Below are 27,504 nucleotides of genomic sequence, written 5' to 3'. Positions count from 1 at the left end.
CATCTTCTTGAATTTATCCCTTTATATTATGAGATGCCCCTCTTATCCCTAGTCATATTCCTTGTTATAAAGTCTAGCTGGTCTGGTATTAATATAGCCACTAATATAGTTATCTATTAGTATTTGCATGGTGTATTTTTCTCCATTCTTTTTACTTTTAATTTATTTATGTCTTTATGTTTGAAATGAGTATCTTGTGGGCAGCATATAGTGGGCTCTTGCTTTCCTATCCAATTTTGTAATTTCTTTCTTTTAATTGGAATGCTTAGATCATTTGCATTTAATGTAAGCACTGATATAGCTGGATTTAAATCTATCATCTTGTTATTTTTTTCTCTTTGTCCTATGTGTCTTTTATTTTTTCCTTTCTTTTGGCCTTCTTTTGAATTAATTATTTTGTATGATTACATTTTTAAATTAAACTTTTATTTTGAGATAATTGTGGATTCACATACAATTGTAAGAAATAATACAGAGAGATTTCATGAATCCTTATCCAATTTCTCCCAGTGGTAACATCTTGCAAAACTATGGCATAATATTGCAACCAAGTTATTGACTTTGATATAGTCAAGATATAGAATATTTCTACCACCACAAGGACCCCTCATGTTGCCCTTTTATAGCCATACCTGCCTACCTTCTACTTATACCTTCTCCGTAACCCCTGGAAACTACTACTACTTTTTTCTCCATTTCTATAATCTTCTTATTTTGAAGATGTTATATGAATGAAATTATATAGTATTTAATCTTTTGGGAGTGGCTTACTTCACTTAGCATAATTCTTTGGAGATTTATCCAGGTTGTTTTATGTATCAATGGTTTGTTCCTTTTCTATTACTGAGTAGTGTTCCACAGTATGGATATACTATTGTTTGTTTAACCATTCCCTCATTAAAGTTGTTTCCAGTCGTTGGCTATTATGAGTAAAGCTGTTACAAACTTTTGTCTACAGATGTTGTTTTGGTAAACAAAAGTTTTCATTTCTCTGGGATAAATGTCAGGAGTGTAATTTCTGGGTCATGTAATAGTTGTGTGTTTACTTTTTAAAGAAACTGACAAACTATTTTCTAGAAACATTGTACCATTTTACATTCCAACCAGCAGTGTGTGAGAGATCCAGTTTCTTTGCATCATTACCAGCATTTGGTGTTGACGCTATTTTTTATTTTAGCCACTCTCATAGGTATATAGTGAGATTTCATTGTGATTTTATTTATTTATTTATTTATTTATTTATTTATTTATTTATTTATTTAGAGATGGAGTCTTGCTAGGTCACCCAGGCTGGAGGACACTGGCACAGTCTCAGCTCACTGCAACCTCTGCCTCCTGGGTTCAAGTGATTCTCTTGCCTCAGCCTCCCGAGTAACTGGGATTATAGGCACATGCCACCATGCCTGGCTAATTTATTTTTGTATATTTAGTAGAGACGGGGTTTTACCATATTGGCCAGGCTGGTCTTGAACTCCTGACCTCAGGTGATCCATCCGCCTCAGCCTCCCAAAGTGCTGGGATTACAGGCATGATCCACCACGCCCGGCCTCATTCTGATTTTAGATTGCGTTTTCCTAATGGCTTATAATGTTGGGTATATTCTCAAGTTCTTATTTGCCATCTGTATATCTTCTTCAGTAAAATGTCTCTTCACATCTTTTGCCCATGTATTAATTGGATTGTTTGGATTTTTTTTACTGTTGAGTTTTTTTCTTTTTCAAGACAGGATCTCACTGTGTTGCCTAGGCTGGAGTGCATTGGGGTGATCATGGCTCACTGCAGCCTCAAAGTCCTGGGCTCAAGTGATCCTCCCACCTCAGTCTCCCAAGTGCAGTGATTACAGGCATGAGCCACTGCACCTGGCCTACTGTTGAGTTTTGAGGGTTCTTTATATATTCTAGATACTAGTCCTTTGGTGGATATATGGTTTGCAAATATTTTGTTCTCTCCGCAGCTTATCTTTTTATCCTTTTAACAGGGTCTTTCACAAAGCACACATTTTTTAATTTTGATGAAGTTTGATTCATCAGTTTTTCCTTTTGCTTTTAGTGTGAAGCCTAAGAACATTTTTTGCCTAGCCCTGGATTTCATTTATAAAATTTTATGATTTTACATTTAAGTCCATGATCCACTGTGTATAAGGTGTGAGACTTAGGTTGAAGTGCATTATTATTATTATTATTATTATTATTATTATTATTTGTGTATGAATGCTCAATTGCTACAGCACTGCTTGTTGAAAAGACTTATCTTTCCTCATTGAGTTGCTTTTCTCAAAAATTAGTTGGGAATATTTATGTGTGTCTATTTCTGAAGTCTCTATTCTGTTCCACTGATGTGTCTGTCACTGCATGGTACCATGTGGCTCTGATTATGTAGCTATGTAATAAGTCTCGAAATTGGGTTGACTGATTTCTCGCACTATATTCTTTTTTCCCCAATGTTTTTACTAGCTATTCTAGTTCCTTTGCCTTTCCATATAATTTTAGGACGAACTTGTCTCTATGTATAAAAAGACTTGCTGGGGTTTTGAAAGGAATTGCGTTAATTCTGTAATTTGGGGGAAATTATCATCTTTACTATGTTGAATCTTCCAATCCATGAGTATAGCATGTCTCTCCACTTATTTAGCTCTTTTTAAAATTGTTTTCATGAGCATTGTGTATTTATTTTGTTCTGTTCTGTTTTTTTTGGAGATGGATTCTCGCTCTGTCACCCAGGCTGGAGTGCAGTAGCATGATCTTGGCTCACTGCCACCTCCGCCTCCCGGGTTCAAGCGATTCTCCTGTCTCAGCTTCCCAAGTAGCTGGGATTACAGGTGTGTACCACGACACCCGGCTAATTTTTGTATTTTTAGTAGAGACGGGGTTTTGCCATTTTGGCCAGGCTGGTCTCGAACTCCTGACCTCAGGTCACCTGCCTGTATTGGCCTCCCAAAGTTCTGGGATTGCAGACATGAGCCACTGGCAGCATTGTGTAGTTTTAAGGAAACAAGTCCTGCACTTGTTTTGTTAGATTTACAACTCAATTTTTTTGGGTGATTGTAAGTGGTATTGTATTTTTAACTTTAATGTTAAGTTCAGTGCTATTATATAGAAGTACAGATGGTTGTCTACATATACAATTATGCTGTCTGCAAATAGGGACGTCTTATTTCTTCCTTTCAAATATGTATATCTTTTATTTCCTGGCTCCCTACTTGGCTTTCTCTGCACTGACAGGGGTGTTGGGAGCACCTTGTTATAGCCTAATGAAGGGGAAAGTCTAGGCTCCTCACTCAATCTTTGCTCGTGTAGGAGGGAGTGTGGCTACACCGTACAACATTGTGTACAAATGTACACATATACAACATTGTGAGTTATACAGTTTTTTCTTGGTGTTTTCCTGGAGTAGAGTGTTATTGTCTAAAGGTTTTCTTTCTTTCTATCCTGCTGTTTTCTTGTCCTTTGGCTAAAGAGAGTAGGCTTTTGTTGGAGCTTTATTTTTGGTCTGTGCCTGTTGGCATTTAAAGTTGCCAGCTTCTTCACCTCCAAATTTGGGATTTTTGAGGCCAAAAGAAAATCCAGTGAACTTTGTCATCTCATGTCATTTCTCTGGTCTTAAGGTCCCTAGCTCATCTTTATGGAAGTGGAAGCTACATGATTATGTTTTAGCTCCACTATTAGCTTATGAGTTATACCTCTTTTAAAAAATGTTTTTATAGAGGTTTCCATAGGGTTTACAATGTTAATCTTTAACTTATTATCACATTCTACCTTCAAGCAATATTATACTGCTTCACATACAAGAACCATATAACAGTATATTTCTATTTTTTTATTCTCCTGGCCTATGAGCTATTACTGTCATGTTTTATTCCTACATATGCTATAAACATCACAATATAATGTTATTTTTTGCTTCAAACAGTCAATTGTCTTTTTTATTTTTATTTTTTTTTGAGACAAGGTCTCACTCTGTCACCCAGACTGGAGTGCAGTGGTGCGTATATGGCTTTCTGCAGCCACAAACTCCTGGGCTTGAGCGATCTTACTGCCTCAGCCTTCTGAGTAGCTGGAACTACAGGTATATGCCACCATGCTCGACTAATTTTTTTTTTTTTTTAAGAGATGGAGTCTTCCTGTGTTGCCAAGGCTAGTCTCAAACTCAGGAATCCTTTTGCCTTGTCCTCCCAAAGTGCTGGGATTACAGGCATGAGCCACAGTGCCCAGCCACAATTATCTTTTAATGAGATTTTAAAAAGTGTCTTTTATGTTTATCTACATATTTACAATATTTTCTCCTTCATTCATTTATGTACATCTACATTTCCACCTGTATCATTTTACTTCTTTCTGAAGAACTTCATTTAACATGTCTTGTAGTACATATCTGCTGGCATGAATTCCCTTAGTTTTTGCTTGTTTGAAAATGTCTTGTTTAGCTGTCATTTAAAAAAATAACAGCTTTGATGAGATATAATTCACATAACATACAATTCACTAATTTAAAGTATGCAATTCAGTGGTCTGTAGTATATTCACAGAGCCATGTAACCAATCACCATGACTAATTTTAAAACTTTTTTTTATGCTAGAAAGAAACCTTGGACCCATTAGCAGTCGCTTCCCATTGCCCCCCAAGCTCCCAGCACTAGGCAATCACTAACCTACTTTCTGTCTCTATAGATTTGTCTATTCTGGACATTTAATGTACATAAAATTACACAATCTGTTGTTTTTGTGACTGGCTTCCTTCATTTAGCATAATGTTTTTATACACATTGTAGCATATATCAGTCACCTTTATTTTTGGAATATATTTTCCCTGGGTTTAGAGTTCTAGCCTGATAGTTGTTTGTTTTTCTTTTTCTTCTTAGCTTTAAAAATGTTCCACTTGATTTTGGCTTGCTTAGTTTCTGATGAGAAGTTTTCTTTCATTCTAATCTTTGTTCCTCTGTATGTAATATTTTTTTCTCTGGATGCTTTTAAGATTTCTGATTTTCAAGTTTTGATTATGATGTGCCTTGGTGTGGTTTTCTTTATATTTATCTTGTCTGGGCTCCATTGAGCTTCTTAGTTGAGATTCTGTGAGTTTATTATTTTCATCAAATTTGAATTTTTTGTCATTTTTTTCTTTAAATGCTGTTCCTATTTCCTATTCCCGCTTTTCTCTTTTTACTTCTCAGATTTTCTCTTCATTAGACTACTTGATACTGTCTCATAGGTCACTGATGCTCTGCTCAGTCTTTTTGAATGACTTTCTTTTTTCTTTTTTTTTTGAGACGGAGTCTCGCTCTGTCGCCCAGGCTGGAGTGCAGTGGCGAGATCTCGGCTCTCTGCAAGCTCCGCCTCCTGGGTTCACGCCATTCTCCTGCGTCAGCCTCCCGAGTAGCTGGGACTACAGGCACCCACCAGCACGCCCAGCTAATTTTTTGTATTTTTAGTAGAGACGGGGTTTCACTGTGTTAGCCAGGATGGTCTCGATCTCCTGACCCTGTGATCTGCCTGCCTCGGCCTCCCAAAGTGCTGGGATTACAGGCGTGAGCCACTGCACAGGTGACAGAAAGTCACCTGAATGACTTTCTGTACTTCATTTCGAGTAGTTTCTGTTGGTATGTCTTCATCTTTACTGTAGTGTCTATTCTGATGTAAATCTCATCCAATGTACTTTTTTCTTCTGATACTGCATTTTATTCTCTCTACAAATCCCATTTTGGTCTTTAAAATGTATTTTTCTTTTTTTCTTCAGCATATTCATGTTTTCCTTTATATCATTGAGAATATATTTTTATATTTATAAAGTAACTCAATTCATTTTCTGCTAATTCCATCATTTCTGTTATTTAGGGGCCTGTTTCTATTTATGAAATTGTTTCTTGGTTTGGGGTCACTTTTTCCTGCTTCTTTGCATGCCTGGTAATTTTTTATTGAGTGTTGGATATTGTAAGTTGTAATTTTTGGATGCTGGGTTTTGTTGTATTCCTTTATAAAATATTGAAATTGCTCTGCCATGCAGTTGAGCCACTTGGGATATTAGATCTTCTTGAGGCTTGCTTTTAAGTTTTGTTAGGGTGAGTCAAGAGGATCATTTAGTGTGGGGCTAATTTAGCCTGCTCCTGTGTGTTGCTAATGTCAAGACTTTATCCAGTGCCCTGTGTATTCTGTGTTTTTTCCACTCTGGAAGATGCAAACATGAACTATTCTTAGCCTTGTGGAGCTCCAGGATTTGTTCAGCTTATAGTTTTCTATTGATTATTGCCTTAGGAGTTTCACCTTACACATGCAGTGATTGTTACTTAGGTAAACACTCAAGGGTACCCTTCTGAAGATCTCTGGAATTCTCTTTCTTTGTGCAGCTCCATCTTCTGTGGTATTCTGCCCCAGAAAATCTAGACATTTTTGCCTCCCTGAATTCTGAGCTCTTTCTCTTCAATTTAGCAAGACTGTGGATCTCTGTTTGGGTTTCTCTCCCTGCTCTGCAGCCTGGAAACTCTTCACAAGTAACTGGGGCAATGGTAGGGCTCACTTTATTTCCCTTTCCTGAGTTCTTCACTACCTATTGTTCAGTATCCAAAAGGAGTTGTTTCATATATTTTGCCTGGTTTTCTAGTTGTTTATGGTTGGAAGAAAGTTTGCATAGAAGTGTCATTTGTGAGTAGAAGCAGAATTCTCCACTAGCTTTTAAATTCAATAACTTCTAAAATATTTCTATGTTTGATTTAGATTTCTTTCTTCATGGTCTTAAAAGAACACCTTTTTTTTCCCTCAATTTTGATACCTTTTTGTTTTTTTCTCGATAATATAAAGCATACTTATTCATATCACATGGATATTTTCATAGTAATATTATATAACACATCACTCGAAAACTCACTGGCCTAAAACAAAAATCGCATATTTTTATGAATCTGTTGACTGGCTGGAACTAGGCTGGGCTTTGCTGGGGGCCTCTGCCTAAAACTGGGGCAGCTGATGTGGCTCCACTTTTCACTGTAGATCTGTGGTCAGTTGGGGCAGCTCTGCTTCTAGCGTTCATTCGGGGCCCTGGCTGAAAGGCAGCAGCCACCCCGAGGAAGTTCTTCTTGTGATGATCGCAGAGGCACAAAAGAACAAACAGAAACACTCAGTCTTCTTAAGGCTGAGTCTGGGAATCGTCCATGGCCCCTTCCTCCTCAAGTCATTTGCCAAAACAAGGCACCTAGCCAAGCTCTAAGTTGAAAGGCGTAAAAGTATACTCTGCCTACAGTGGGGCTAGGGCAAGGGTGTGGATGCAGGGGAGGATAAAGTATTGAAACCAGTAATTCAAACTATTACATAAATTTTCTTTCTATTTATTTATTTATTTATTTATTTATTTATTTATTTATTTAGAGACAGAGTCTCTCTCTGTCACCCAGGCTGGAGTACAATGGCACGATCTTGGCTCACTGTAAACTCTGCCTCCCAGGTTCAAGCGATTCTCGTGTTTCAGCCTCCCAAGTAGCTGGGATTACAGGCGTGCACCACCACGCCTGGCTAATTTTTGTATTTTTAGTAGAGACGGGGTTTCACCATATTGGCCAGGCTGGTCTCAAACTCCTGACCTTAAGTAATCTGACCGCCTCAGCCTCCCAAAGTGCTGTGATTATAGGTGTGAGCCACCGTGCCTGGCTTATTACATGAATTTAAAATCCTGACCAATGGTTCAATGACTTGAAGTGTTTGGAAGTGAAATTCTTCCGTATATTGTTTTTGCATACTTCCATTCATGGTGCATTATTTTCTGGTGTATTTTGTCATTTTGGATTGGTGTTCAGATATGGTAGGCCTTTTAGAAATGGAACTTCCATGTGGCCTGGCTTGAGGAAACATCCCTCAAGAATAATTTTTTGTCGGTCTCTTCCAGGTACCCTAAGGTTCGCATTAGCCAGGGACTCTTTATTACGTTAATTTCTCAGGTTGGAGGTATGTGGACATTGCAAGGAGTAGAAAATTGAACCCTAGGCTGGGAACAGGGGCTCACACCTGTAATCCCAGCACTTTGGGAGGCCGAGGCGGGTGGATCACCTGAGGTTAGGAGTTTAACACCAGCCTGGACAACATAGTGAAATCCCGTCTCTACAAAAATACAAAAATTAGCTGGGCGTGATGGTGGGTGCCTGCAATCCCAGCTATTTAGGAGACTGAGGTGGGAGAATAGCTTGAACCCAGGAGGAAGAGGTTGCAGTGAGCTGAGATCACGCCATTGCACTACAGCCTGGGTGACAGAGCAAGACTCCGTCTCAAAAAAAAGACTCAAGTCTCAAAAAAAAAAAAAAAAGAAAGAAAAAAGAAAAAAGAAAAAGAAAATTGAACTCTATATCATGTAGAGCAGTGGTTACCAAATCTCAGGTGAGGCATATTTCCTCCTACTAGAACCAGGGCTGAGAGAGACGGATAGTGTACTGGCTTTATGCAGGAGCCTCAGTTTAACCTCCTCAGGTGGGCCCAAAGCCTTGTGCCTTATTCCTACATCATCATTAAAAGCCAACCCCTTGTTACCAAAAGCAGGACAACAAAAAGCATTGGTAGGCCAGGCACGGTGATTCACGCCTGTAATCCCAGCACTCTGGGAGGCTGAGGCAGATAGATCACTTGAGGCCAGGAATTTGAGACCAGCCTGGCCAACATGGTGAAACCCTGTCTCTACTAAAAATACAAAAAATTAGCCAAGTGTGGTGGTGCACACCTGTAATCCTAGCTACTCGGGAGGCTGAGGCACGACAATTACTTGAAGTCAGGAGGTGGAGGTTGCAGTGAGCCAAGATTGCACCACTGCACACCAGCCTGGGTGACAGAGTGAGACTGTCTCAGACAAAAACACACATGACAACAACAACAACAACAAAAAAGCATTGGTACCCACATATTCATTTTAGTTTTAATTTCCTCTTTAGTTTTGTTGCCTTTATTTTTAGCTCGGTGCTACACTTGAAAAGTTGCTTGTAAAAATTTACCCAGCATTTCTTTATTTTTTTGTCTTCAACTTTTATTTTAAGTTCAGCGGTACATGTGCAGGATGTGGTTTGTTACGTAGGTGAACATGTGCCATGGTGATTTGCTGCACAGATCATCCCATCACCTAGGTATTAAGCCCAGCATTCATTGGCTATTCTTCCTGATGCTCTCCCTCCCCAGCACCCCTCACAGGCCACAGTGTGTGTCAGTCCCTCCTTGGGTGTCCATGTGTTCTCATCATTCACTTCCCACTTATAAGTGAGAACATGTGGTGTTTGGTTTTCTGTTCCTGTGGTAGTTTGCTGAAGATAATGGCTTCCAACTCCATCCATGTCCCTGCAAAGGACGTGATCTCATTCCTTTTTATGGCTGCATAGTATTCCACGATGTATATGTACCACATTTTCTTTATTCAGTCTATCATTGAGTGGCGTTTAGGTTGATTCCATGTCTTTGCTATTATGAATAGTGCTGCAATGAACATATACATGCATGTATCTTTATAATAAAACAATGTATATTCCTTTGGGTATGTACCCAGTAATAAGACTGCTGTTTACCCAGTATCTCTATCTGTTTTGTATAGTGAGTTTTCTCAGGTTCTCTCATTAGCTATTTTGCGATTTTGTATATGATCTTCTCTTTTCCTGGATTACTCCCAATATCCACTTACACTTTAGGCTCCATTTCTTCTGAATCCTCTGGTAAATTAGATATTCTTCTTCTTCTTTCTCGTGGGGAAATTATTTTCCTTCATAGCGTGTTTATATTTTGTGATCTTATATGCTTATTTAACTTCTGCTTTTCCCATTAGACTCTCAGCTCCTCATAGACAGAGACCAGATCTGTGTTGTTTTCTACTAATTCCCAGAGCTTAGTACAATGCTTAGAACATAACAGGCCCTCTGTAAGTATTTGTTGAATGAATAGTCGTGATATTTGGAAATACCACTTGTCATTACTGTCATGTATGTGACATTATGTTAGTCAAAGTACTTTTAAGTATGGTTTCCAAAAGCTTGCTACTTGCCTGCGTTAAGACTGTTCTAGTCTCTGTTCTGGTCAACCTGTTAATGAATGATTGGATAATGACATGTATGGACTGTGTCAGAGAATTATACAAGCTTTTTACCAGTCAAGACTCTTGGTTGAAAGCAATAGAAATGGACTCTGATTAATTTAAACAGAAAAGGAATTTAATTGAAAAGGTATTATATAACTTGTACAACTGATGGGAAGATGGAATTAGGTTTGAACAGGATCCAAGAAAGGAAAAGCCCAGTTGCTATAGTTTGAATGTTTGTGTCCCCTCTAAAGTTTGTGTTGAAACTTAATCATCAATGTGATAATATTAAGAGGTGGTAATTAAGGTAATTAAGTCATGAAAGCAGAGCCCTCATGAATGGGATTAGCAACCTTATAAAGGGCTGGAGGGAAATAGCACCCCCCCTCCCACTTTTGCCCTTCTATCCCTTCTGCCATGTGAAGACACAGTGTTTGTCCTCTCTGAAGGGTGCAGCAGCAAGGTACCATCTTGAAAGCAGAGACAGGGCCTTGCCAGACACCAAACCTGCCAGGTTAGACTTCTCATTCTCCAGAACTACGAGCAATAAATTTCTATTCCTTGTAAATTACCTACTCTCAAGTATTTTGTTATGGCAACACAAATGGACTACGACAGAAGTTGGTGTGAGAAGTGGGGCATTATGATAACAAATACCTAAAAGTGTGGAAGCAGCTTTGGAACTGAGAAATGGGTAGAGGCTGGAAGGAAGAGATTGGAGGTGTATGCCAGAAAAAGCCTAGATGATCCTGAACAGAGCATTAATCACCATGAATGGTAATTTTGGTGAGGGCTCAGAAGAAGAGAGCTGTAGAGAAAGCCTAAATCTTCTTAGAGACTGAGTGGTTGTGAACAGAATGTTGGTAAAAATATTGGTAGTATGCTGGGCGCTGTGGCTCATGCCTGTAATCTCAGCACTTTGGGAGGCCAAGGCAGGAGGCTCACTTGAGCTCAGGAGTTTGAGACCAGCCTAAGCAACGTAGGGAGACCCTACCTCTACAAAAATAAAAAAAAGTTTTCAGGCTTGATGGTGCATGCCTGTGGTCCTAGCTACTTGGGAGGCTGAGGTTGGAGGATCACTTGGGCCCAGGAGGTCGAGGCTGCAGTGAGCCAGGATTGCACCACTGCAGTCCAGCCTGGGTAACAGAGCAGAACTCTGTATATAAAAAATAAAGTAAAATATGAGTGGTAAAGGCAATCCTGATGAGGTCTCAGATGGAAATGAGGAAACGTGTCATTGGAAACTGGAGAAAAGACCATTCTTGTTACAAAGTGGAGAAGAATTTAGCTGAATTGTATTCATGCCCTCCTGCTTTGTAGAAGGCAGAACTTAGGAGCCATGAACTAGGATATGTGGCAGAAGAAATCTAAGTGTTCAGGGTGCTGGATGATTTATCTTGAATACTTATAGTAAAATATAAGAAGAGAGAAATGAATTAAAGATGGAATTTATAATCAAAAGGGAAGCAGAATTTAAGCCTTTGGAAAATTTTCAGCTTTGCTATGTACAGAATAAAAAAGCATGTTCAGGAGAGAATACCAACGGGGTAGCCAAGCGAATGTTTGATAAGGAGATTAGCACAGATGAAAGGGAGCCAGATGCTATTCATCAGGATAAAGAAAGAATGACCCCAAAGGCATTTTGGAGATTTTTGAGGCTGCCACTCCCATTATAGTTCCAGAGCGCCAGGGCCTTGAGAACTGAATGGTTTCAAGGGAAGGGCCCAGGGCACCCACGGTACCTCAGGACTCACTGCCCAGTTCTGCCTTCCGTTTCTGCTCCTCAAATTCTGGTACAGTGCTCCTTAACCACCCGAGCTGTGGCTCAAGTGGGCCCAGGTATGGCTTGAACTACTGCTCTGGAGGGCACAAATGGCAAAACTTGGCAAAGTTCCTGTGGGGCTAACTCTGCAGGTGCACAGAGTGCACAAGCTATGGAGGCATGGCTACTTCCACCTAGATTTCAAAGGATGCTTCAAAGAGCCTTGCCAATGCCTAGTGACCATGGGAGTGGGGCCACCCCAGAGTCCCCACTAGGGTAATACCCAGCAGAGCTGTGAGGTCAGAGATACTGCAGACAGCCCCCACTTGGGCAATGCTTAGTAGAGCTTTGGAGGCAGGGCTGCCCCCGAAGATCCCAGACCTGTAGAGCCACCAGCCACCGGCATGCAACGTCAGCCAGGGAGAGCCACAGGCACCTAACTCCAGCCCTTGAGAGCTGCTGTGTGGGCTGTACTCAGAGAAGCCATGGGAGTGGGGCTGCCTGGAGCCTTGGGGGTCCAACCCTCATCTTACTGTGTCCAGAAGGTGGGACAGACATGGAGTCAAATAAGATTATTCTTTTTCTTTTTTCTTTTGAGGTGGAGTCTTGCTCTGTCGCCCAGGCTGGAGTGCAGTGGCGCAATCTTGGCTCACTGCAATCTTTACCTCCTGGGTTCAAGCGATTCTCCTGCCTCAGCCTCCTGAGGAAGATAATTCTCTTATTGAGCTGGATCCCCATTTGCCCCATTTTATTATAACACCCAACACCTCCCCCACACCTGCAAGCCTGTCCCCACTCCAGGTCCAGTGATGTACCCTACTTTCCTTTCCTTTTGGGTTCCTTTTTGGATTACAGATGTGCGCCACCATGCCTGGCTAATTTTTGTATTTTTAGTAGAGATGGGATTTCATCATGTTGATCAGGCTGGTCTCAAACTCCTGACCTCATGATCCACCTGCCTCGGCCTCCCAAAGTGCTGCGATTACAGGCATGAGCTACCATGCTTGGCCAAGAAGATTATTCTTAAGCCCCAAGATTTAATGCTGTTTGCCTTGCTGGGTTTTGGACTTACCTGAGACCTGTTACCCTTTTCTTCTTTTCTTTTGCTCCCTTTTGGAATGGGAATGTCTGTCCTATGCTCGTTATACCTTTGTATTTTGGAAGCACATAACTTGTTTGATTTCATAGGCTCACAGCTAGAGGAGAATTTGCCTCAGGATGAATCATTTCTTTGAGTCTCACCTATATCTGATTTGGACTTTAGACTTTTGAGTTGATGCTGAAATGAGATAAGACTTTTGGGGCTACTGGAATGGAAGGAAGATATTAGGTTGGTGCAAAAGTAGTTGCAGTTTTTGTTATCACTTTTAATGGCAAATATTTTACATGTGAGAAGGACATGAATTTTGGGAGTCAGGGGCAGAATGCTGTGGTTTGAATGTTTGTGTCCCCTCTAAAATTCATGTCAAAACTTAATTGCCAATGTTGTATTAAGATGTGGGGTAGGGCCTTTAGGAGGTAATTTAAGTCATGAGAGCAGAGCCCTCATATATGGGATTAGTGACCTTATAAAGGGCTGGATGGGACTAGCTAGGCCCTCCTTTTTTGCCATTCCGTCCCTTCCACCATGAGAGGATACAGCATTCATCCTCTCTGGAGGATACAGCAGCAAGGAATCATCTTGGAAGCAGAGACTAGGCCCTCACCAGCCATTGAACCTGTTGGTGCCTTGATCTTGCCTTCACAGCCTCCCAAACTGTGAGAAATAAATTTTTGTTTTTGTTTTTTTTAAAATAAATTACCCACTTGCAGGCATTTTATTATAGCAGCACAAACTGGCTAAGACACCAGCCAAGATTCATACCATCGTGGACATAGTTTGCTTAGAATTCCTATCTGATGATGCTGTCACTGGACACGTCCTGCTCTGTTCTTGGATTCTGTATTCCCTGCTCACTCATTATCATACTACTGGGCTTATCTTTACCTTCCTTGTGCCTTTGCAGCACTTTCTGGAGCGTCCTGGGTGGAAGCATCTGGTTGGCTGAACTTAAGTCATGGGCTTGCCCTGCTTGCTAGGTTTTGGTACAAAGGTACTGTCTCTTCACTTTGGCTGCCATGATGGAAGACAGAATCTGCCTTCAACTGATCTTAGGACGCTCTCCTCAATAGGAAGGGATTCATATGTCTCTTCAGAGACAGCTGCTAACCCCAGGGAAGATAATTCTCTTATTGAGCTGGATCCCTATTTGCCCCACTTTATTATAACACCCAACACCTCCCCCGCTGCTGCCAGCCTGTCCCCACTCCAGGTCCAGGGATGTAGCCTACTTTCCTTTCCTTTTTGTGTTCCTTGCCTGTGTCTCATGCAATCTGTTAGAATTCATTTCTAATGTGGCTGTGGATAGGGTAGATCTCCTATGTTCTTCTTCATATTCTTTGAAAAACAAAAGCAAAAATCTCATAGACTTTACTGTCTTGAAAGAGTTTCCTGCTGAGTCCTGTCAGAATCTCTGAATTCACTTTAATTAAATTCTATAAACTTTAATGAACTCATTTCCCTGATTGAGAAAATAGTTGCTCTTTGTAGGAATTCCCTGATTTTGAGCACTGGGGATGTATAGTTCAGACCCTAAAAGACCTAGAAACCCATAATATAAAATTCCTTGGTCCAGTTTTTTTTTTACTCTTTTTAAAGCCTTTCAGATGTTGAGAAGCTTGGGGCATTTTCACTTTTTGGCATAGTAAATATGATTATTATTATATATTTTTAAGACAGAGTCTCTCTCTGTTGCCTAGGCTGGAGTGCAGTGGTGTGATCTCAGTTCACTGCAACCTCTGCCTCCTGGGTTCAAGTGATTCTCCTGCCTCAGCCTCTTGGGTCGCTGGGATTACAGGCGTGAGCCGCCACGCCCAACTAATTTTTGTATTTTTAGTAGAGGCGGGGTTTCACCATGTTGGCCAGGCTGGTCTTGAACTCCTAACCTCAAGTGATGCACTCGCCTCGGCCTCCCAAAATGCTGGGATTACAGGTGTGAACCACCGTGCCCGGCCACCATAGTAAATATTAAAGAATTGTATAGACAGAGTTACAAACATCGTGGAATGTTTCAAATATGTGAATGTTAGGTGCTTTTTAAACAGACATGCTAAAACACAATTGTATGTATAACCTTATTTGTAAATAATGTCAAAAATCCCATTGATGTTGCTGTTGGGTTGGTAAAATTCTTGGTCTTGGTCTGTCCCTTGTTATTTCTATTCTAGGTATGTCTGGCTCTGACACACCCTGCTGTCATCTGCTCAGTCCTTCTGGAGGCCTCTCTAGAGAAGGCAAACCATCTGGGCTCCCTGTCCTTGGTTCTGTCCTTGGCAGGACTGACGACCATAGGATAAGCCTGGTTCTTCCTATTGCTAAAGCTCGGCTTTTCCACCTGTTATCCTAACCTAATGCCTGGACATCACCTCTTGGAAAGCATTATGGACCCTGTGCTGGACTTGACTTCCTTTGTCTGCCTTTCATGGGAATTCACCCTCTCTTTACATAAGTGTTCCTATTTTTGGTTTTAGAGATTCCTCTGGGTCATCACTGAGCTGAACTGATGGAGGTTCCTTGAAATCAGCAAATGGCCTAGATAATCAGGCCTCCTAACCTCAGCCTTCTGTGATGCTTTGCTTTTCTATTTCCCATTCTGTGGGGTTGGGTGGAGCAAGGGATATAGTCTTTTAGAAACAGTATTGTTCACTTAACAAAGACCTCAAACCCAGGAATAAGCATAATCTCCACCAGGGAATGCCACTTAATTGCATTAAGCTTCTTAGATTTATCAGATGAAGGATAAGCCTGATTTATCAAAACCAGAGTGGCCGATATTCTGGTTGACAAAATCCAGGTTTAAGAGGATAGTTCTTGTTAGTTGGATCAATGAGCTGAAGTGGATATGATGGCATTTAATTGGTACAGATGTCATATTTGTCACTTTCATTGCCCAAATTCCCAATTACATAAACTCATATTTAGTAATAGCTTAGTGGCATCCCACTTATAAAAGGCTCAGGGATTTTAGTTGGAAATATTTCCAATTTACTATAAAACTAGCATAACCTTAGTTATAAAACATCTTCACATGGCATACACAGATGTCAAGGAACAATTTTACTTAGAGCTTTTGGTAAAAATTTAATTAAAATGAGAATATGTGGTGTGATGAGATAAGGATGCCTGAATACTTAATTCAAATAAGCATTTTTTTTTGTGAAGAAGTCTAAATTACTAAGAGAGATTTATGACAAAGAGAATTTGAATAGATAACTAGTTGCTGAAGACAGTGAAAAAGTTTTTGAAGAATGACATATAAGAAAGACACTGAATCCAGTTGGCTTTACAGGCAAGTAACGTATCCAAACTTTCAAGGAATTATGCTATTAAAATGATTGCAGGCCTGAGTATAGGATTCCACATTGAAAATTGTTTTCCTCAGGATTTTGAAGGCATTGTTCCACTGTCTTGTAGCTTCCAGTATTGTTACTGCAAAGTCTGAGGTCACTCCGATTCTTGAGCCTATGTGTGAAACTATGTTCTTCTCTGGAAACTTGTAGGCTCATCTCTTTGTCTCTGGCGTTCTGAAAGTTTTCAGTAGAGTGGACCTATACTCATCCATTGGGCTGGGCACTCAGTGGCTCTCTCAATCTAGAGATTATTGAATTTCCTTTGATTATTTACATTCCTATTTTTTCTACTCCTCTTTTCCGAAGCTTCCGTTAGACCTTCTGGACTTGTCCTCAAATCATTTTTTATATTTTCTACTGTTTGTATCTTTGTATTTTATTCTAGTTTCTGGGGAATTGCTTAACTATCTTCCAGCCTTTCTATTGAAGTTTTCAATTCTGCTGTCATACTTTTACTTTCCAATACCTTGGTTTTGTCATTGTTGTTCTCTATGTAGCTGTTTCTTAGAGTATTGTCTTATTTCATGGCTGCAATACCCTCTTTATCATATCAGAAAGATGTGATAAAATCTTTCTGAATAAAGTAATATTAGTTTTAAAAATATTTTATTCTCCATGCATAATCTCTCTTTTCTCTGGAAAGCTTTATTCTGATTATTTTAGACTCTTTCATATAAGATGGTTTTCTCAAATGCCTGGGATCCTCACCCATGTGCTCATATTTAAAAGAGGGTCACTAAAACGCTGTCTGACCAAAAGAGAACCCTACTGTAAACTGTGGACTTTGGGTGATAATGATGTATCAATGTAGGTTCATCAAGTGTAACAAATGTACCTCTCTGGTGGGGGATGTTGACAGTGAGGAGGCTGTGCATGTGGGAAGTGGGCAGAGGATATAAGGAAAATCTCTTTATCTTCTGCTCAGTTTTGCTGTGAACCTAAAAATATTCTAGAAGAGTATTTTTGAATATTTAGAAGATAAACTCTGTTCAACAAATACAAACAAAACATTTGTTTTGGACACTCTAACCATTGCAGTAGGCAAATAAAAACCCAACTTAATGGAGAAAAAAAAAGCTGTTTGGACGATCTGTATGCATGATTAGGACTTCCTTACTGTGATTTTCATTGTGTGGCCATCTAGCTGTCTATTTCCTTGGACAGCCCCTGGTGCCCATATCTTTAGGTTTTTTCCTTTGGATCTGTCAGATCCACTGGCAACACTCTTCCAAACACTTGCATAGAAAATACATACCTGGCTTCCAGGATTCTCAAGAAAAGTATAAGTAACAAAAGGGAAATGGATTCTACCAGATACTAAAACTGTATTACATGCAGGGTGTGGTGGCTCATGCCTGTAATCCCAGCACTTTGGGAGGCCGAGATGGGTGATTGCTTGAGCTCAGTTGTTCGAGACCAGCCTGGGCAGCATAGTGAGACCCCCGTCTCCACACAAAAATACAAAAATTAGCCATGCATAGTGGTGTGTGCCTGTGGTTCCAGCTACTGGGGAGGTTGAGGTGGGAGGATGGCTTGAGTACAGGAGGTGGAGACTGCAGTGAGCCAAGATCGCACCACTGCACTCCAGCCTGGGCAACAGAGCTAGATCCTATCTCGAAACCAAACCAAACCAAACCAAACCAAACCAAACCAAACCAAACCAAACCAAACCAAACCAAACCAAACCAAACCAAACCAAACCAAACCAAACCAAACCAAACCAAACCAAACCAAACCAAACCAAACCAAACCAAACCAAACCAAACCAAACCAAACCAAACCAAACCAAACCAAACCAAACCAAACCAAACCAAACCAAACCAAACCAAACCAAACCCCGAAAAGATTGTGTTAGAAAGCTACACTAATGAAAAGAGTGGTAGTATCACATAAATTGACAGATTAATGGAACAGAATTATAGGTAGTCTATAAAATGTAGTCTGTTACATATAGTATAGTGAAGCTGTTATCACAAATTAGTATAGGAAGGATTATCCAATAAGTGCTGCCAAAACCATTGATTATTTGGGGGGAAAAGTTAGCACTTCACCTTATATGCTAAAATTAGGTTGTTTGTTCATGCTTTGTCTTTTGTTCAATAATTATTTTTCTCCTATTATGTTCAAGCCAGGTTAAAGTATAAAATTAAAAATAATATTGAAAAGGGGATAACAGTGTAAGCCTAAAGTTACTGGAAAGGAAAAAAGTCCATAAATTTGACTACATAGAAATTAAAAATATCTGCAGACAAAGGAACAAAATAATACAGAAAAATTTTTATAACATATGCCAGATGAAGGGTTGATATCCTCTACCTATAAAGAGTTTATACAAGTTGATCAGAAAATAGTAAAACCTGATAGAAAAATGGGCAAAAAACATTCATAGAACAAACATAAGTGCTGAAGAAGTATACGTTAAAAAATCTACCCTCACTAGCCAGGCATGGTGGCTTATGCCTGTAATCCCAGCACTTTGGGAGGCCGAGGCGGGTGGATTGCTTGAGTCCAGGAGTTTGAGACCAGCCTAGGCTACATGGTGAAACCCCATCTCTACAAGAAAATGCAAAAATTAGCCCGGCATGGTGGCACGCACCTGTAATCCCAGCTACTAGGGATGCTGAGGCACAAGAATTGCTTAAGCCTGGGAGATGGAGGTTGTAGTGAGTTGAGATTGTACCACGGCACTCCAGTCTGGGAAACAGAGTAAGACCTGCCACACACACACACACACATAGAAGTCTACACTCACTAGTAATCAGGCCTCCCTCATGAAACGTGATACCATTTTTTCCCTGTTTAATAATTAATAATAGGCAAAGCAATTTAAAAATTACAATAATGCTTGTATGCATACCTTGAAATGAGCACTTTCATACAATGCTATTGAACGAATAAGTAATTTTTTTTTCTGGAAAGCAGCTTGGCAGTCTGTATCAAAAACAACCCTGAACAACAAATATATCAAGCCCCTTCCTCCTTCTTCAGAGCCTTGAAAGTGCTATTCCGTCTACCTGGAATGCTCTTCCCCATCTCTTCCTAGCTCATTCCTTCTCACGTTTTAGGCTTTCTGAAGCCCACCTCCTGCAGGCAGGCTTCTATGACCTCAGGCTAGATCAGATTCTCTCTCTCTTTTTTTTTTTCAAAGCCTGATCCATCAGCCAGTGTTTTGGAAGCCAATTTTGGGGAGAAGGCAGAAGGACCCACTGTTCAGTATGTAAACTTCCACTTAATTCCTCTGTTTTATTTATGGTGCTCCTACCCTCAATTATGCCTGGCATTTCTCGATTTTTTTTTTTTTTTTTTTTTGAGACAGGGTCTCGCTCTGTTACCCAGGCTGGAGTGCGAGTAGCTGGGAATACAGGTGCACACCACCACACCTGGCTAGTTTTTCTATTTTTAGTGGAGATGGGGTTTCGCCATGTTGGCCAGGCTGGTCTCGAACTCCTGACCTCAAGACATCCGCCCGCCTCCGCCTCCCGCCTGGGATTACAGGCGTGAGCCACTGCACCTGGCTGCATTTCTCTGTTTTATCCTCTCCAGAGAATAAACCTCCACCTCTTCACAGAGTTGGGAAGATGTGGTCACCTAGCTGCTCAGTGCAGGGATGGAATCCCCAGGCCGAGGTGCTTTCAATGAACTCTCCTGTTTTCAGCTCCACCCCAATTCCCACTCAGAGGCAGTTTGTGCTTTCATTTCTTGTAATTTGTGCTTTTCTGTGTTTCTGAGTCACCCACAATGAATCACTTTCACAATCAGATAAAAGCCCCTAAATTTTCTTTATTTAAGATTTCCTACTTTGTGACCCAGTAATTTTACTTCTTGGAATATCTTTTTCTTTTAAGGAAATAGAAATTTGGAAAACATTTAGGTACAGACATCTGCATCACAGTACCATTTATAGTAGAGGATGATTAGTTGCAAACATCCTAAAAATCCAATATCAGGGTCATGGTTTAAGTAGGCACTGATAAAGCCTTTAAGTGGTATTTCCAAAAATATGTTCTTAACGACATGGGAAAAAACTAATGATTTATCATAAAATGAAAAAAGCATAATATAAAATTGTAGGTATATCTTTACTAAGATTTTATTTTAAAATATGCATGGAAGAAGGCTGGAGGGAATTACTTCTGAATATTAACAGTTGTTGCCTCTGGATGGTAGGATCTCATTCACTGTCTACAATGATCATGCATTATCTTTATAATTCAAAAGAATTTATATATATGTAAAGGAGGAGAAAATAAAAAAAATTATAATCTTAGGTTGCATTAAGAGAGGTAGAAGTTTTGGGGCAAGAGAGGCAATAATCTGGATTCGGACCAACTGGAGTGTCGTATCCAGCATACAGGGAGGGTGGCATATGTTAAGAGGAAATTAGGCCAGGCATGGTGGCTCACGCCTGTAATCCCAGCACTTTGGGAGGCCGAGGCAGGTGGATCACCTGAGGTCAGGAGTTTGAGACCAGCCTAGTCAACATGGTGAAACCCCATCTCTACTAAAAATACAAAAATTAGCCAGGCGTGGTGGTTCACACCTGTAATCCTAGCTACTGGGGAGGCTGAGGCACAAGAATTGCTTGAACCCAGGAGGCAGAGATTACAGTGAGCCAAGATCCTGCCACTGCACTCCAGCCTGGGCAACAGAGGGAGACTTCGTCTCAAAAAAAAAAAAAAAAAAAAAAAAAGAGGAAAGTAAACAAATTGCAGGTTGGCCAGAGACTTCTGGAAATCAGGATTATCTGGAGGAATAGGAGGAGAGCAGGCTCAGGCTGAACCTGGTGGCTGTCTGTATGTGGCTGCAGTACTGTTTGGGAAGGACAGAACTGGGTGTCCTGTGGCTCTGGGATCAGAGCCAAGTCTGGAGAGAGATTCTTAAAGGTGGAGAGAGATGTTCTGACAATCCTGTGATGGATACCTCTTCCTGCAAACGTCAATAGTCATGCTGAGGTTGGTGTGAAAACGAAGAATCCCCAGTCAAGGAACTGGAGGTGATAGAACCATGAGGCTGGCAAGCCAGTGGCCAGTGAGCCAGCATGTTAGACTGGGAAGAAGTTTTGACATCACCCAGCTTGACAGCCTTGTTTATGTGCAGCCCGTGATGTTCTCATGCTCCCATCCGTCATAGATAAGATGACCTTGGGTTATGCAAAATTCCCAGTGCACTCCACATAACCCCATCCCTGTCTTTCCTACTTAGGAAGGCAATGTGAATTTAAGCGACTGGAATTAATCTTATTGTAGAAACAACCTTGACTTTTTTCTGATTCATGCGAAATAGCACATCACTCATGAGTTTCAGATCAATGATCAGTGACAGGTTACCACACGCAACGCTCCTCATACCTAATTGTCACATACGTGTTTCTCATCCAACCCTTTCATTTCACAATGGGGAAATTGAGGCCTAGAGAAGGGAAAGAGCCATAGTCAAGTGCGTATGAGAGGTGTGAGGTAGGAGCCAAGTCTCCTAACTCCAAACGATGGCTCTTTCTCTAACTGAGAGCCACTAGCTGTCAACTTAGATTTTGGTTGGTGGCAGCAAGGGATAGGCTGGTGAGAGGAAGAAGGAAACAAAGGAAAAGAAAGGTGTGAACCTGCCGTGTTTCATCCTAGTGACATCACCAAGGAGATGCCTGCGTCCAACAAACCTAGCATTCTCCAGAGCCCCGTGCCTGACCAGTGCTTGGAGGTGAGGTGGGGCCACGAGGGTGGTGGTATGGGTTGAATGGTGCCTCCTGCCAGATATATTGAAGTTTTAACCCCTAATGCCTCAGAATGTAACCTTATGTGGAAATAAGGTCTTTTCAGAGGTAATCAAGTTAGATCAAAGTCATTAGGGTGGGTCCTAATCCAATATGAGTGATGTCCTTATAAAGAGGGGAAATTTAGACACAGAGACACAGGTAAAGGGAGAACACCAGGTGAAGATGAAGGCAGAGATGGGAGTGATGCGTCTAAAAGCCAAGGAGTGCCAAAGATTGCCAGCAAAACACCAGAGCTGGGAGAGAGGCCTGGAACAGTCTCCCTCACAGCCCTCGGAAGGAACCAGCCCTTCGGATATCTCGATCTCAGACTTCTGGCCTTCAGAACTGAGAATCAGTTTCTGTTGCTTAAGCCGTGCAGTCTGTGGTACTTTGGTACAGTAGCCTTGGCAAGGGAATACAGGTGGGATGGGGCTTACAGCCACTCTTCTCTCCATAAAGTCTTCACCATACCCCCAACCCAAATGGTGTGATCCCAGCCCCATGACACTGTCCTCACTCTTAAACCCCCAGCCCATATGTGCTTGTGTTTGTGTGGCCGCCAGTCTAGGACCCAACTTGTCTTGCCAAAGGTCCAAGTTCCTGAGCCCCAGCCTGACCCCGGCTCTGACACCAAGCTCAGAGTGGGTGAGCTTTGAGGGAGGGGAAGGATGCCATTTCTGCTCACTGAAACCTTTCTTCTCCTACCTTTCCAAAGTAGGAAAGGTTGGGGATAACAGAAACACCAAACCAGGGCTCTGAAGCCCCTCAGGTAATGCTGGCTCTAACGCTGGCTTCTAACCTGCAGCCTCTGGCCTCTCACCCTGGCTGGAGGAGAATCTCTTAGACAGGGACCTCAACTTCCAGTGGTCATGGACTTCCAGTATGTGAACAGCCTCCTTTTTGAGGCTTTCAGGATTGAGCCCAGCCTCACTCAATCAAGCAGTGGTTCAGATCCCTGAGAGGTAGAGGTCATTGCCGGAGACTAGCTGGAGAAGTCAGAGAGCGCTTCCTGGAGGAAGAGCCTATGTTAGTCTGGCTGAAAGGTGTGAGCTTAATTTTACTGCATGACTACTGAGCCAGGCACAGTCACATACTTTCACTTATTTGGTTTCCAGTCAGTTGTGAGGCAGGTGATGTTATTTGCATTTTAGAGGTTAGAAAACTGAGACTCAGAGAAGCGAAATGATTGACTCCAGACCACAGCATTTAAATTCAGGGCCCTCTGGTGATAAGCTCATCTCACTCTTCCGCACCAAGCCCTTTTCCAGGGTCCAGTAGTATTTAAAGGATTTGTGGAGTTTCGAAGTGTGGGGGGCAGGGACGCTGCATGCTGACACAGGGGCAGGGTGGGAACATACTGGGTGAATCTGGGAGCCATGAGGAAGCTGGCCTGATCGATTTCAGCGATTCAGAGGGAACAATGGGAACCACAGCTGGAAAAGGAAGAGGGTCGTAATTTATTAGGCTGAGCATTCAGACTCGCTGGGTAAGCAGCGAGTGAGCGAATGAGCTCTGGATGAGGGGTACAGAGCTGGTGTTTTCAACACCCATCCTGATGGGAGAGGGGCCAACTTGCCAACCTGCTGTGAAGGCATTGTGGCTCTCAAGGAGAAGCATGTGGCCACATCAGAGAGACCCCCTTTCCTTCTTCAACCCTAGCCCCAGATGTCCCTGGGAAGGGAGGACAACCAGCTTGCCTCTGAGGGTCACTACCTAGTGCTCTCCCCTACCTGGGTCGCCTCCACATAGGTCAATTCTGCCAGCAGTGGGCCCATCCTCAGCCACGCCTCCTGTATCTAGGTGGCTCATCAGGACCTAAATGCCCCCTCAGCCTGTCAATCCCTCCTCTGACTTTGCACAAACAGTTTTCTCCGCTTGAATGCTCAGTGTTCTCTTTCCCTCCCCAGTGAACTCCTAGTCAAGACCCAGTTCAATTGTTCATTTTGTTTCTGCAGCCTTTGTGGCTCATTGGCAAGATTCAGTCTCTTCCACTTCTGTACATTGCCATTGTCCTCACTGAGGTCTGGGTGCATGGAGAGCAGATATGAAGCAAATCCTTCAGTTGCTTCTCCTGGTGGGCAGACTAGAAAGGGCCAAGGTAGGAAGGACTAGTGACCTAAACCTCCCTTCCCAAATACCAAGGATGAGGATGAGGTGGGATGAGTGCAGGGCCCATCTGAACTGGACTGCGAAGGGCTTGGCTGGCAGGCACGCTTGGAGAGCAAACCATCCAGTAAGGAAGCACTTTGCAGGGGGCAGTGTGGCCAGGGCGACGATGGGCATGGGGGAGGGAGGGCAAGGACGTTTATGCTTTGACCACTGATTAATGCGCTGGAGCAGTGGGGATGAAAAGAAGATAGTGTCTGAGGCATTTCAAAAGGCAGAGCATTTAGAAATCAGGGCTGTTGGAGGCAGAAGGTATGAGTTTGAGGGTTCAAGGTGTTGGCTGGAATCGGGGGTTATAGAGACCAAAGAGATTATACAGGACCAAGAAGTAAAGGAAGCCTGGGCAAAATAACTCTATCCCCCAACCCCCAGCACATCATGATAGCATCAATACACACCTACTTGTGATCAAGTCCTGTTTATTTCAGAAGCTTGAACAGTAGAACTAGGAAGGAGTGATGAAAACAAGGCACCAGTCCCCTTGACAGGGCCAAATCCGGCACAAGCTCTGTCTGTGCGATCAAGGCTGACCCAGCAGCCTCAATCCGCCTTTTCCTGTGAGGAGAGGGTTTGAGGACAACCTGCGCACAGGTGACTGTTCCATAGGGTGAGGTTGGGGTAAGTTGGCTCTGGGTTCCTCTGGATCAGCTGCAAAAGGCCAGAGGGCCCCCAGTACCCTTGGCCAAGAGCATTCCATGCTGACTCTGTCTGTGCTCAGGCAAAGCCACATTCTGGAGAGGAAGCCGTAGTGCCTGGTGGGCACCAGGAAGGCCTCAGGTGTTCAAGAACAACTTGCAATGAGGCTCCATGGCCAGCAAGCACCTGCTTCCCCAGCCCAGTCATCTCTGCAGAGCCTTCCAGGAGGGGGCAGGGGGCATCCCAGGCAGCCAGACTTCTCAGGACCCCTCTGTTGGGTGACATAAGCCACAGGCCTCTATACATACTGCTTCTTAGAAGCAGAGCTGCTGGGACGACTTGGGGGTTTTTGGCCATTCTGAGGGGGTGGGTCCAGGAAGAGAGGGGGCCTGGAAGACGCCAGCCTCTCCTCTGTGGTCAGGTTGGCCCAGTTCTGCTCACTGGATGAGAGCCCATTGTAGGTGGGGCATGGTGGGGATGAGGGCCCCTGGCCCACGGGGAGGTAGAAGAAGACCTGGTCCGTGTAAGGGTCTGAGGAGGTGCCCTGGGTCGGGGGTGCGTCTTGGCCTTGCCGTGCCCTCATCCCCCGGCTGAGGCAGCGACACAGCAGGTGCACCAACTCCAGCAGGTTAAGCACCAGGGAGATGAGTCCAACCACCAACATGAAGATGATGAAGATGGTCTTCTCCGTGGGGCGAGAGACAAAGCAGTCCACGAGGTAGGGGCAGGGTGCTCGCTGGCACACAAACACGGGCTCCATGGTCCAGCCGTACAGGCGCCACTGGCCATAGAGGAAGCCTGCCTCTAGCACACTCTTGCAGAGCACACTGGCGACATAGGTGCCCATCAGTGCTCCGCGGATGCGCAGGCGACCATCTTCTGCCACCGAGATCTTGGCCATCTGACGCTCTACGGCCGCCAGCGCCCGCTCCACCTGTGGGTCCTTGGCCGGCAGTGCCCGCAGCTCCCCCTCCTTCTGCCGCAGCCGCTCTTCTCGCCGAGACAGGTAAATGACATGGCCCAGGTAGACCAGGGTGGGTGTGCTGACGAAGAGGAACTGCAGCACCCAGTAGCGGATGTGGGAGATGGGGAAGGCCTGGTCATAGCAGACGTTGGTGCAGCCTGGCTGGGCCGTGTTACACTCGAAATCTGATTGCTCGTCACCCCACACTGACTCGCCGGCCAGGCCCAGGATGAGGATGCGGAAGATGAAGAGCACCGTCAGCCAGATCTTACCCACCACGGTCGAGTGCTCCTGGACCTGGTCCAGCAACTTCTCCAGGAAGCCCCAGTCACCCATGGCTCCCGGGCCTCCGTCTGCAAGGAGACAGAGCACGTCAGTGTGTCAGCATGGCATCCTTCTCGTTCGCCCAGCAACAAGCCTGCAGGGAGGTCTGCCACGCCCGTTCTACCTACAAAGAAACCCAGGCTCAGGAAGGGGAAGGACTGGCCTGGAGGCTCCCACTCAGCAGTGCAGGCAGGACCCAACCCAGATTTTTGGATGATGGCTGCCCACCTCTTTGTATGGTCTCATTCTGCTTTGGCTAAGGTCCCTGCCTAATCAGACATCTATGTCCCTCTTGTCCCCGAGCCACTGCCCCAGGATGGACACAGGCCAAGGAAATCTGGGTGGAGTTGAGGCTCCTTTGCCTATGGGAACAGAATTTGAGGAACTTATCCAAAGTTGTGCAGCTGGGCTAAGCCCTTCCTCCCTTTTGCCCAAGGCTGGCTACCCCCAGACAGTGGGAGCTAGTGATGATGGTAGAGGTGTTATCTTCTGCTTCTTAGGGGGCTCAAAGCCTCAGGTCCCTGCTCCCCGCCTCATATCTTACCCAGCTGGCTTCACTCTAATCTTTGAGCCTGCAGGGGCTGGGTAGTGGAAGGGGTTTTAGGAGCTGAAGGCAGCATCATCCTTTAGCTCCACCGGTCAGCAATAATGACCACCTGCCACTTGAGGAGGGACATTTGGTCCTGTCTTCTTCCTCCACCTCCACTCCCACCCCCTTCCACCTCCAAAGCTGATGCTGGCAAATTCTAGACTCTTGAAAGGAATTGTCATTGCAGGGTGAGGCACAGGCCACAAAGTTCCCAAGGGGGAGGTGCCTCTTCCCAAGTGCAAAGCTGTTTAGAGCCAGGCTCTGGAAGCGGCCCTGGGTTCAAATCTTGCCTTTTAGTAACTGCGGCCCCTTGGATAAGGAACAACCTCTGGGCCCCTCAGTCTCCTCCACGATAGAGTGGAAACAATAGTATTCCTCCCGCCTCGGGTTGTTACAAGGATTCCATGGAAAGAGGGTGGGAGCCTGGCCAAGGCCACCTGGGTGAGCGCGGCTCTGTCGCGGCGGGCGTTCCGCAGCAACCCCCGTCCCGGCATCGGAGGACCCAAGACTCCTCCCGGCCTCCCGCGAGCAGGTGGCGCCCCTGGTCCCTTCCTAGCCCCCGACTCACCGCCTGCCTGCCGGGCGGCCCAGGTGGAGGTGGGGACGATGGCCGGAGTGACGCCCGCGGGAGCCCTGCTGGACCGCACGAGCGGCGGGGGCGCCTTAAATAGCGCAGAGGGGCGGGGTGGGGGCAGGAAACGCGACGGGGAGGGCGGCGGGCGCTGGAGAGAGGGCGGGGGCGGGGACTGGGAGGTGCAGACTCCCTAAACCCACTCCGGGGAGGTGGGCCTGTGTGATTTGCGGTGGGGAGGGGCAAGAGGGGCTGACCTACCCTTCCTCTCCTC

The 27,504-nt window shown here is 43.7% G+C and overlaps 1 protein-coding gene across 3 annotated transcripts, besides 2 other annotated features; it reads right to left on the bottom strand.

The window, feature by feature from the left end:
* Window positions 19,962–20,011: an enhancer, noted in NCBI's record as "active region_716". NCBI's record gives its function as "activates an Ori minimal core promoter by ATAC-STARR-seq in GM12878 lymphoblastoid cells {active_cell/tissue: GM12878}" and the evidence as "EXISTENCE:reporter gene assay evidence [ECO:0000049][PMID:35858748]".
* Window positions 24,549–27,297, bottom strand: GJA4 (gap junction protein alpha 4). Of its 3 annotated transcripts, none has more exons than XM_017001043.3 (2): window positions 26,950–27,297; window positions 24,549–26,099 (listed from the first exon to the last, which is right to left on the bottom strand). In XM_017001043.3, exon 2 carries the CDS (start codon window positions 26,080–26,082, stop codon window positions 25,081–25,083), a length of 1,002 nt encoding a protein of 333 aa, XP_016856532.1. In that variant the 5' UTR covers window positions 26,083–26,099; window positions 26,950–27,297; the 3' UTR covers window positions 24,549–25,080. The 3 variants fall into 3 exon arrangements, with proteins under 3 accessions (XP_016856532.1, XP_005270807.1, NP_002051.2); XM_005270750.3 differs by having other exon boundaries at window positions 24,549–26,194; window positions 27,228–27,297; NM_002060.3 differs by having other exon boundaries at window positions 27,228–27,297.
* Window positions 25,880–26,034: a silencer, noted in NCBI's record as "fragment chr1:35259863-35260017 (GRCh37/hg19 assembly coordinates)". NCBI's record gives its function as "represses an EF-1alpha promoter that drives an FKBP-Casp9 reporter gene in an ReSE screen in K562 erythroleukemia cells {active_cell/tissue: K562}" and the evidence as "EXISTENCE:reporter gene assay evidence [ECO:0000049][PMID:32094911]".
* Window positions 27,298–27,504: the final 207 nt, after the last annotated feature.

The sequence above is a fragment of the Homo sapiens genome, chromosome 1 (assembly GCF_000001405.40).
Source record: "Homo sapiens chromosome 1, GRCh38.p14 Primary Assembly".
NCBI lineage: Eukaryota > Metazoa > Chordata > Mammalia > Primates > Hominidae > Homo > Homo sapiens.
This window is presented reverse-complemented; position numbering and strand designations above follow the sequence as displayed.